Genomic DNA, 12,607 nt, shown 5'->3' on the forward strand with positions numbered 1-12,607 from the left:
ATCTTGATTCTATTCTGAGAGTGATGGGAAACCAGCAGAGACTTTAACAGAGGGGCAAAGTGGTCTGATGTACATTTTTTAGAGGATAACTGGGGTTGTTGTGTGGAGAATGGGAAGGAGCGTGGCAGGAATGGAAGCAGGGAGACCAGTGGGGAAGCTGGTACAGACCTCCAGGCCAAGGTGATGGTAGCCTGGACTAGGGTGGTGAGAAAAGGAGGCTCGAGACACATTTGGAAGATACAGCCCACAGGACTCAGTGATGGGCGGGATGGGGGGTGAGGGACAGAATGAATTCTGGATCAACAATTCCCAGGTTTTCTCTAGAGCAGCTGTGTGGGTGGTAGCTCTACTTTTTGAGCTGGGAAGATCTGGAGAAGGACCAAGTTGGGATAGGAAGGGAATGGTGATGAATCAGGATTTCCATTGTGGATGTAAGTTTATAAGGACTTGAGTGTAAAGTCAAGAATCACCCCAACAGGGATGGTTGGCCCCCCTACTCGGGTGCCTCCCATCAACACTTCACTAGACCCCCGTTGTCTGCTTGCTTACCTGCAGTGACAGGGAGCTGTCTCCATGAGAAGCAGCTCCATTCACCCTCACACCCAGCTAGGACTATGACAAAATATTTCCTGCTTCTGGGATATAACCTGGGATCTGTCTCCCAGAATTTTCCCAGGAAAACTGCAGGATGAGACTCACCCCTCCTTCTAAGGACAGCCTTGCAGAGCTCTGGAGCAAGAAACTCCCCAAGTCTTCACAGCATTCCCTAAGCCCCTGCTCTGCACCAGGTCAAGAGCTGGGTGCTGAGACCACAGAGATGAGTCAGACAGGACCCCCACCCTTGAGAAGCATCTGGTCAGATGGGGGTGAAAGGCAAATAAACAACCAATGACAAGCAGGATGACAGGCAGAGGGCAGCGCAGGAGGCCATAGGAACTTGTCCTCTTAGCACACAGCTCTGGTACCTTCTGGACTGTGCTCTGCCCTCATCACCCACCCTGCACACAGCACCGTGTGGTTCAGAAAACATTTTCAGCCATGTGTGCTTCTTTTCTTCCACATCTCAGCTGTGGGAGGCTGGTATTATTGTCCTCACTTTCCAGAAAAGGAAACAGAGATTCAGAAAGGTCTCGTGACTTGCTCAAGGTCACACAGCCTATCAGTGACTAAAGAGGGAGGGTAAGAAGGCCTGTCTGACTTTGGGTCCAGGACTCTTCCATGCCTCCAATGCCGGAGGCTCCATCACTCTGGCGACTTCTCTCTCTCTCTTTTTTTTCTCTCTCTCTCTTTCTTTCTCTCGCTCTGTCTTTTCCACCCTTACACCCTCTCTGACCCAGAACAGGTAGCCACCCAGACTAGAGCTGACATCGGGAAAACTGGGAGGTGGGCTCCTCTTTTACCCCCTGACCTCCCCCGAGCCCCTCACCCTTAGGTCACTTCCTCTTCTGACCCCCAAGCTCCCACCAGCTCCCTTTGTCCGCAAGGTCTACATTGAAGAAAAGATGCAAAACAGCACCTGACTGGCAGGAAAACAGCTCAGTCACCTCCTCTGAGCCTCAGTCTTCCTTCAGAAAGACACAGTGGCTGGATTTGGTCATTCCTGGGGGTCTCCTTGCCTGCCCTGAGGGTCTCTCTGGGCAGGAATCAGGACTCACCTGTGAGTCCCAGCAGAAGGGTGGGCAGGAGGGAGCCCAGGGCCCGCCCAGGTGTGGTAGCCATGGTGAGAGACTCACAGTGCTCCTGGTCTGTTCCTGGTGGCAACCACTGGATAAGGCCCTGAAAGAGCCCAGGAGCCACTGACCAGCCTCTGACAGCCTGGAGCAGGCCTTATACTTCCCAGCTGCCTACCCCACCCCATTCTCTGCCATGCCTGGAACAGAGGCCTGAGCCACAGTGAGGGAAGTGGTCACTGTGGCCACGGCCTCCTTCCAAGCTGCAAACCTTCAGGCCTGAGGTGTCTAACCAGGGAGGCATCTGGAGCCTTTTAATGGGTTCCGACTGTCCCTGATTCCCCATGAGCAAAACCAGAAAGCGGCTGAGCTCTGCCTCAAGCTTCAAGCCACAGAGCTGGCCTCTGATAGGCTGAGCCTTGATGTCCCTTGTCCTGGAGGCTCCTCCATGCTGAACAAGCAGCATCAAGAGCCTGCCCTGTCCCAGGCCCAGACACGGCTTCTGGGAATGCAGAATGGATCAGATATGGGCCCAGAGGGTTGAGAAGTGAGCCTTGACATACACAACCACGTGCAACCAAGAAAGACCCTAGACTTTGAAACCCAACCCTTGCCTCACAGCTTAACTGGGCTTGGACAATGGTGGCACGGATTTCCCATGGCCCAGAACTGTCTACTAGGCTCCACGTTGGGGAAACATGAGTTTGAAACACAGCCACCAGTTTCCCTGACCTCCCTATGAAAACAACCTCTCCCTTTGGTCTCTCTCCATTTCCTTACCCTACGTTACTGGGCTTTCCAATGGTTAGCCCTGATGTATATTACTCGTTTTTATCCATTTCCCTCATGAAAAACAAATGATTTGCCCTGAAGACTACTGCTTTTTGTTCATGGCTGTAACCAGCAGCCACACAGTGCTGGGCACAGAATAGATACTCGCTAATAACAAATGAACCTTTGGGGCCAGGTATGTTCTCAAGACTGATTACAAAGCAGCCAAGCCCAGCCTGCTCCCCAGCCATCCCATCTCTTTGGGGTCTGTACGCTCAGCTAAAGTGGAGGGAGAGGCTAGAGAGGAGTTTTCTAGCCTGGGTGAGGCTGTTATGGAAACTCCCCTGACCTCACAACCCCCCACCACTACTCAGCCAAGCAAGGCACCCCAAAATGACTCCTAGATATTACGTGCCTGCAGGAGGAGGAGGCTGGCTTTTCTTTTTCCAGGTGTCTCCTGAAGCAACAGTGGATTTGCTGATCCACCTTGATGTTGCCCTGAGCAGGAGAAAAAGGAACTGAAAAGAGACAGCAGGGTAGAGTGACGGGGTGGCAGGGCAGCAGCTCAAGCTTCCTCCATGCAGAGTGGCAAGGGGGTGAGGTCCATGGAGAGACCCTCATTGAAAGGGGGGAGCCGACCTTAGAGCATCCCACTCAAGAGAGATGACCACTGGCAAGAGGGCCTAGGAGTAAGAGACTGCAGCATGGACTCCAGCGGGGAGCTGTGAACCTGGATCAGATCATGCATAAAAGAGACTGTGCAGCAGACTGTGTACCCCCACAGCATACACACATGGGCACACACACGTGCACATGCATGCACACATGCACACATTCAGGATCCTCCTAGGAATCCACACCTGTGCCCTAGGAGGCAGCTGGCTTCCAGAGTCCAGCCATAGTGAACAGAGCATTGCTGGGTAAAAGAAGTCCCTCTTTTTCCATCTCCCTTCCCAGGCCCTAACACACCAGATGATAGACAGACCCAATTCAGGGAAAGGAGGAGGGACAAAAGAATGCTTCACCTCCATCCCTTCCAGATCCCTCAGCAGGGACTTGGAGGCAGCAGTGGGCTGGGGTGAGAGAAGGAAGTGGACGCTGAACTAGATGTAATGTTGGCATTTTCAACCAGACTAGTTTGGACTGGGCAGGGCCTGACACAGAATAGTTACTTTATAAAGTTTGGTAAAATTATTCATCTACCCTCAGTTCCTTGGTGACACTAGCCACATTTCAGACACTCAATAGTCACGTGTGGCTACTGGCTACCATAGTCGACAGTGAGGTCTTGGGTGAAACATTCTTCATCAGGGAAGTCTTTTCTACCCTAATGTCTCCCTGTGGGTTCAAATACTTCTCTTGCAGAGCATTTATCACAGTTATAATTAAACTGTTAACTTGAAACTAGTTGCATAATAACTCTTTCCCTTATTAGACTGTAGGCTCTGGAGGACAGGGACCATGTCCTTGGTCACTAGTGTAAATAAGTGCCGGATGAATGTTTGTTGGATGGATGGATGGGTGGGTGGATGGATGGATGGGTGGATGGATGGGTGGATCCATGGATAAACAGACTAAGAGGAAGGTATGTGCTACAGGGCAAGGGACAGAAGGAAGCAATCCCACTGAGAAAGCAGAGAAGCCTTCCTGGAGGAAGTGGGCTTCCTTCAGGGCTCCTGTCTCAGCCCTCCAGCTTAATCACACCATCTACACAGAAGGAGAAGACTGGCAACACTAGGGCTAAGCTGCAGTGGGTGGGCAGCCATGGGCAGCCTGCCTTGTGGGGCTGGAAGGCTGAAGGGGAAGTGGAGAAGATGAGGTTCTCCAAGGAGTGGCCTGAGGAATGCCAAAGTACCCACAGGGCTAGCCCAGGCTGGGCCATGCGTCCACTGGGTAAGGCTTGGCTTCCTCTGAGTAGAGTCACGTCAGTCTCCTTCCTTATTCTAGCACCGGCAAGAACTGGCTGTCACGTACTCTATAAGCACAACCTTTTATAGGAGCTGGGGACCCAAGAGCCCTCATCATGAATATGGGCCCCTGTGCTGGCCTAACAGGCTGAGGGCCCAGAGAGGACAGAGAGTTGCTAGCTCTTCAGAAAAGGGACACTGGGCCAGGTGCAGTGGCTCATGCCTGTAATCCCAGCATTTTGGGAGGCCAAGGAAGGCGGATCATGAGGTCAGGAGTTCGAGACCAGCCTGACCAACATGGAGAAACCCTGTCTCTACTAAAAATACAAAAATTAGCTGTGCGCGGAGGCATGCGCCTGTAATCCTAGTTACTCAGGAGGCTGAGGCAAGAGAATCGCTTGAACCCAGGAGGCAAAGGTTGCAGTGAGCTGAGATCGCGCCAGTGCACTCCAGCCTGGGGACAGAGAGAGACTCTGTCTCAAAAAAAAAAAAAAAAAAAGGACATCAATGACCCTAAAATCCAACTCCTTGCTGCAAGGACCCATGGATCTTTTACCCTCACCCCATCTTCTTAGACTTACCCTTGACAAGCTGCACATGTCACTCTGAGCCTCCTGCGAACACAAGTCCGTGTCTCCCCAAGACGATGATCAGCCTCCTTGAGGACAGGAACCCTTCCTTGTCCACTTGCTCCATGTCTGAGACCTCAGTGCCTCACACAGCCCCTAACACTGAATAGCCCCTGAACATGCATGTGTTAAATAAATGTGTTTCGTTATTGATTTACTTATTCCTGCAATTCTTTATAGAGTGTCAATTATGTGGCAGGCATCATTTGGGGCACTGAGCAAGTGAGCAGTGAGCAAGATAGTAAAAATAAAGGAATACCTAGGCAGTATAATTCCAGGGAGGTTAACTGGTATGAAGAAAAAGAAGTCAGGGGATAGACAGTAGCTGCGTATATTTTGGACCGTGTGCACAGGAAGCCTTCTCTGGGGAGGGGCCTATGAGCTGAGACCTGAATGAAGGAAGTGGAAGTCATAGGGAGTTCTAGGAGAAGAATGTTCCAGAGAGAGGAATACACTTGCAGGGCAGGCATGAGCTGGGCATATGTGAGCCACAGCAAGGTCACTGTGGTGGGAGCAGAGTGAGGGAACAGATGGTCATGGGAGAAACTGCAGGACTTGATCTTGGAGGCTGTGCTGATGAGGTTAGAGTGTAATCTGTGTGCAGTGCCTTGGGCAGAGAGCAGTACCGGAGCAGGATCCAGGTCACAGATTGGAAACTCACACTCTGGTGGCTGTGTGTATGTGTGTGTTGGAGGAGGGACAGGCTGGAGGTGGGTAAGGAAGGAAGCAGGGGAGAAGAGGAAGCAAGAGGCCACTGCAGTTAGGGATGGCTGGACACAGGACTCTGGAGCTGGGGGAGAGATAGGTGATGGAGATGGGGGATAGATATTTGCAAGCTGTCAACATGTGGATGGTTTCCACATGGACATTGCATAGGATGAGACCACCTCAGGAAAGAAGAGATTGGGGGAGAGGGAGAGGGGGAAGGAGAGTCCCAGGGCTGGGATTCTGATCTGGCTCTGCCACCAATTTGCAGGGTCAGCTTGGGCCATCTCTCTGGGCTTTGGGTTCTACAACTGGACATGAAGGGAACTGAGCCAGGTGATCTCTAAGGATCCTTCTTCTTTGAATATTCACAGGCTTGGTTTCATTTCCTGTACCCAGGAGTTTTAGTCTGGGCCGGGGCTCCACTCACCCCACTGCTGAGCCTGCTGGCTATCTGATCCCTGCATTGCACAGGGCCCCACTCTGAGAGGAACCCGCACTTGATTTACTGCTCTGCTGTTACTGTTTTGAAACGTTTAATTATTCTGGGACATGCTCTGCTAATTATGTGGCCAGTGCTACCATGTGCCGTTGGTCTACTGCTGTGAGGTGAGGCAGGAGCACGATTTGGCTGTTGGGAGGTCCCTCAGGTTGTTGGGTGCCAGGACTGAGGGCCCTTGCTGGACCCCTCTGAGGACTCCCCAGTCCCTGCTGTCACCAACGCCACCCTCCCAATGCCTCCCCAGACTCTGCAATCCCAGAAAGACAACCTTGGCATTCCTGAACTTCCTTTTCCTCTTTCCTTCAGAAGCTGAACAAATAGTCAAGGGCAAATACCAAAACCGTGGAATTCTGATATAGACCAGGATTTCCGAAGATATGAGCCATGGACTGACATGCAGACACAGTCCTACCCCAGATGTAGAATCCTACAGAGGTCCTAAAATCTGCAGTTAAACAAACTAAACAAAACAGCATTCTGACTGAGTTAAAACTTGAGAACTGCTGATTTAAGCTAGTGACCCAGATGAGTTCAGGAAGATGACTTGATGGGGGCATTGATGCTGCCTGGATTGGGGGCTGGGGAGAAGGAGGGAAGCCAGGGAGAGATGAACTACTCAGCCATATGCTCCTTGTCCTTCAGGTCTCAGCTCAAATGTCCGCCCCCAGGAGGCCTTCCCTTGACTCCAGCACACAGTGAGCTGAGACCCTGCTCCAAGCTCCCTCAACTCCTGACCTTAGCAGAGCACCTTCTTACCATTGGTGATTGTCACTACTGCTAGACTGCGTGCACCGTGGAGGCCAGGAATGGGGACTCTCTTGGTCTCCATGGTATCCGCAACACCTAGCACAAGGTGTAGCACACAGAAGATGCTCAACAAATACTTGTTCGATGAATGAATGAAGAGAGAGTTTGGATGTATAGGGCCAAGGGAATCTTTCAGTCCTAGGAATCTGACACTTACCTTGGAGTGAAGGCTGGTTACTGCCTCTTGCCTGAGGAGACCCTATAGAGGGCTAGCATTAGAATTCCCCTCTCCTGGCTGATCTTAGAGTGATGGAAGAGACTGGCAGGGGAAAATTTAGACTAAGGTGTTAAAGGCTAACATACCATTTCACCCTTCAATATTGGTTGTGATTTCCAAAATGCTATTTGCTAACCCCACTGAGCATCTCACTGGGAAGATCCAAGCCATTGAGGAAAGAAAACAAGCAAAAGAGATTTAAGGGTTAAAGAAACCCTCTTTTGATATTTTACATAGTCCCAACAAACTTCTCTGCTGCAGGAGATGAAGACTTCAGCCACTACAGGTGGACTGGCCCCAGTGACCCCTGTCTCCATGAGAGCAAGCAGATATAATAATGGGAGATGATGGTGAAGATCAATGCCTTAAACCCGAAGAATGGCTTTAATGGTGGACTTTTAGGCTGTCAGCACTTAGGTGGGGCACATCTGTAGGAAGAGGAGAAGAAAAGAAAACTCAATGAGATGAGGTGATTTGCTTGATAACTTACAGAGAGACCAGCAAGCTAGATAGGAACAACTAAGACCAATAAGGAAGTTATAAGAGGCTCATTTCTGCTTAAGAGAAGGAAGAACTTTCTAACAATAAATGCTGTCCAGTAACAAAACTGTTTATCTTTTGGGGGAACTTCCTTTCATCAGGGAAGTATAAGTATAGAACTCCAGTTAGAGATGCTGGACAAGGAGTCTAATTCGACTAGATAAGTGATTTTCAAACCATAGGTCACAATGCCTTCATGGGGCATGAAATCGATTTAGCGGACCTAAACTAGCAATTTTTTTTAACGGAAAAGATAGAAGAGAGAGGAAAGAAAAGAAGGAAAGGAGGAGAAGGGAAAAGTTAGAAGATAGAAGGGGAGGTGAGGCGAGGAAAGAGAAAAGAAGAGGAATTATGTGAGTTTATCCCACATAGGAAAGGCAAGAACTGTCCACTGAAACTTTCGGGGTGTGTGTGTGTGCGCGTCCGTGTTTGTGTGTGTGTGTGCGCGTGTGTGCACTCACTAGGTGGCAATATAAAGTATATTACTAAGTGTGGGTGATAGTCAAAAAGATTGAACACCTCCGGAAGTTGATCTCTAAGATCCTTCAAACTTTGCAGTTATGTGACATGAGGTCCTTAGGTTTTATGTATCAAATTATGAGAATAGGATTCTAAGATCCATTTATTTCATTTTTTATTCATTTACTCCACATTTATTTAATACCTATTTTAAGCCATACTGGGTGCTAGGGGCAAAGAGATACATCAGAATCAGTATCAGTTCCTGCCCTCAAGATATGGAGATGAACATTTACACAGATCATTATAATACAGTGTAGTATATGCTTCAGTAAGCATTTGGCTAAGATTTATGCACCTTTCACCCAGCCCCCTGTGCAAACTGATTTTCTTATCTCCATTTTACAGATGGAAAAAAAATCAAAGCTCAAATGGTCACACAAAGGGTGAATCAAGGTCCACCCAGCAGAACCAGAATTTGAACCTAAGACCACCAGGAGAGCCTGAATTTCTAACCGTTGGGCTCCACTGGGGTGTGAAGGGCAGGTGGGTGGGATATGGAGGCTCAGAGAAGGAAGGCTGGCTGCAGCAGCTGGGGGTGGGGTGGGGAAGAGGCCAGGGAAGGCTTCATAGACAAGGGATCATTGAGCTATGTCTTGAAGGAAGAGGAGTTGGATGGCTTGACAAGGGGGCAAAGGTGTCACCTTCCATACAACCAGCAGAAGCCGCTCGAAGAATAGTAAAAATTGTGGGATGTACAGCAGGCAGACCTGGTGCGAATTTTAGTTCCAGCTTTTACTACCTGTGTGACCCTGGACACGTCACCTAACCCCTCTAAACTTCCATTTCTTCATGCATTACATGGGAGTTATTATGAAATGAGAGATTACGCACCCAATGCATCCAGCATTAGCACAGTGCCTGGAAAATAATAGAAGCCTCATGCTAATTACAACCTATTTATGACAGTTTGCTGCCTATCAGCTGAGTAACCTTGAGCAAACTGCTAACCTCTCTGTGCCTCACTTCCCTCATCTTTAAAATGGGAATCATAATAGCACCTATCACATAAGGTTATGAAAATAAAATGAATACACGTGACATGCTTAGAAGAGTATGAGGCAAAAATCAGGTGGATGATAGAGGTAGGTCACTGTTAATACTTCTGTGTGCTACACACCGTGCAGAGAGTTTTACCATTTTATTTATTCATTAGGTTAACAAATGATCATTGAGGGTTTGCTAGGTTCCAGGCAATATTCAAGGTGCAGCAGAGAATACGAAGTAGGTTAGGACAAGGCTGCAGCCCTGGGTGGAATTTGTTTGCTGGGGAGTGGGAGGGAGAATAGGATTTGGGCAGGAGGTGAGATAAGTGGTGAGAAATGAGGCTGGAGAGATGGAACGGGTCAGAGCATAAAAATCGTTTTATGTCATGTCGTCCTATAAATAGTGGTGAGTCCACGGAGATTTTCAATCTGGGGGACTTTTCTTCTTAGAATTTACGATTCTCCAGTTGTAAAACTCTATGACTCTACGTGCCAAAGTCTTTTTGATTCCAAGATTATAGTCCTATGGTTTTGTGACTTTTAATATTTCTTACTTGCTGTAGTAGATTGATATTAAAAGTCCCCACAGTGGGGACTTTTGGTTTCAACTCTGACATGCAAAGAACTTGGAAGTCGTTACTCCTGACCTTACAACAAGAAAATGCTGGATATGCTGAAAATCAATGACTTTCCTTGAGCCCATTAGAAAACTGAGGTTGCAGAGCAAACTACCACCTAAAAATCTGGAGAATCAGATGAGTCCAGATAGATGTGAGCCCAAAGTTCTGCTTCCCTGCAGCAAGGCCTAAGTCAGCCAGTGGGAATGCTTACACAGTAATTCTGATGAATTGCCAAGGCTACGTGCAGACTAGCATGGGAGGGAGAAGCATGAGAGGGAAGACCTCACACTCTTGCAGGTTTTTCCTCCAGAAAGCTCACCAAGTTCCAATGAGAAAGGTCCCCACGTGGCCCGAGCAGGGAGATGCAATGAAAGCTATGGTGAAACCCTCCCAGGATCTCTTCCCTCATTGCCAGAGGGAAGGACTTTGGCAGAGGGCACTTCTGAAACTCTATCTTAGCTAGGCTAAAGGAGCTCTGCATCACTCCAGGCCTCTCCAGACTTCCTGTCCCATCTAGGGAGGAAAAAAGTGGTGGCAGGGGAGGGAGCTCTACCCCTGCAGGAAGAAGAAAAACACTTCTAAAGTCCACACTCCTGAAGCAAGAGGCCCCAGATTGAGACTTAATTAGAGGATTAGGGAATGCCCTCCGTCCCCCACACTCTAGCACATACCAATAAGGCTCCAGTAGAGTACAGTGACTTACAGCTACAAGACACAGACTCTCTGAGGAGCTGTATAAAGGAAAGCTCCAGAGCCAAGAGAGGAGAAAATAAGGACATTAAATGAATTGGAAGTCCCTGGTGCCTATAACTACAACAAGCATTAAATGCTGCCCAACTCCTAGCTAGATTAACATCAATCCTCACACTAAAGGTCTATTTACCTCAGTGTTTATTTTCTTATTCAACATGTCCAGCTTTCAGCAAAAATTTACAAAGCAAGCTATAGAGGCTGAGCATCCCTAATCTGAAAATCTGAAATTTGAAATGCTCCAAAATCTGAAAGTTTTTGAGGGCCAACATGACAACACAAGTGGAAAATTCTACACCTGATCTCATGGGATGGTCTGCAGGCAAAACACAGTCAAAAATTTGTTTCATGCACAAAATTTTTAAAATACTGTATAGCTTGTTGCATTGGCATGCACCTGTAGTCCCAGCTACTTAGGAGGCTAGGGCAGGAGGATTGCTTGATCCCAGCAGTTCAAGGCCAGCCTGGGCAACATAACAACACTCCATCTCTATATATATTTTACACACACACACACACACACACACACACACACACAGAGTATATGTGTGTATTTTATACACATAGTATAAAATTATACACTATAATTTTATATGCATAGTACATAGTATTAGTCCATTTTCATGCTGCTGATAAAGATATACCCAAGACTGGGCAATTTACAAAAGAAAGAAGTTTAATTGGACTTACAGTTCCACGTGGCTGGGGAAGCCTCACAATCATGGTGGAAGGCAAGGAGAAGCAAGTCATGTCTTACATGGATGGCAGCAGGCAGAGAGAGCTCTCACAGGGAAACTCCCCTTGTTAAAACCATCAGATCTCATGAGATTTATTCACTATCACGAGAACAGCATGGGAAAGACCTGCCCCCATAATTCAATTACCTCCTACTAGGTACCTCCCACAACACGTGGGAATTCAAGACGAGATTTGGGGTGTGGGTGGGACACAGCCAAACCATATCACATAGTATAAAATTATCTTCAGGCTATGTGTGTAAGGTGTGTATGAAACATAAATGAATTTTGTGTTTAGACTTGGGTCCCACCTCCAAGATATGTCATTATGTATATGCAGACATGCCCAAATAAAAAAAAATAAAATCTAGAACACTTGTGGTCCTAAATATTTTAGGCAAGACATACTCAATCTGTGTTAGTTCCCCAAGGCTGCTGTAACAAATTAGGACAGGGTGGGTGGCTAAAAACAACAGAATTTTATTCTGTTAATGTTCTGGAGGCCAGAAATCCAAAATTAGAATCACTGGGCCGATACCAAGGTGTTGGCGGGGCTGTGCTCCCTCTTAAGGCTCTATAAGGGAGAATCCCTTCCTTGCCTCTCCCAGCTTCTAGTAGCTGCTGGCATTCCTTGGTTTGTAGCCAAATCACTCCAATCTCTTCCTGTCTGGTCATGTCACCTCCTCCTCTTCTGTGTATCAAATCTCCCTCTGTCTCCCTCTTATATGGAGACATGTAGAAAGAAGTACAAAGTAGGAGGACTCACACTCTCAATTTCAAAACTTAGGATAAAGCTATAGTAATTAACACAGTATGATAATGACATAAGGTTATATAAACCAATATATAGACATATAGACCAGTGCAATAGAATTGAAAGTCCAGAAATAACCCCATAAAGTATAGGGCCAGGGTGTTAAGTCCAGTCAGTGTGGAAAGAATAGCCTCTTCAACAGGTTGTGCTGAGACAACAGGATGTCCATGAACAAAAGAAATGAAGTTGGATTCCTACATCACTCCATATGTAAAAATTGACCCAAAATCCATCAGAGCCTGAATGTAAAAGCTAAAATCATAAAATTATTAGAAGAAAGCATAGTTGTAAACCTTCACAACCTTGGATTTGGCAGGGGTTGCAAAAGCATGAGCAATAAAAGAACAAATAAATTAATTAAAATTAAAAACTTTGGTGCATCCAATGTTATCATCAAGAGAGTGAAAAGACAACCTATGCGATGGGAGAAAAT

Source organism: Homo sapiens, chromosome 20, assembly GCF_000001405.40.
Source record: "Homo sapiens chromosome 20, GRCh38.p14 Primary Assembly".
NCBI lineage: Eukaryota > Metazoa > Chordata > Mammalia > Primates > Hominidae > Homo > Homo sapiens.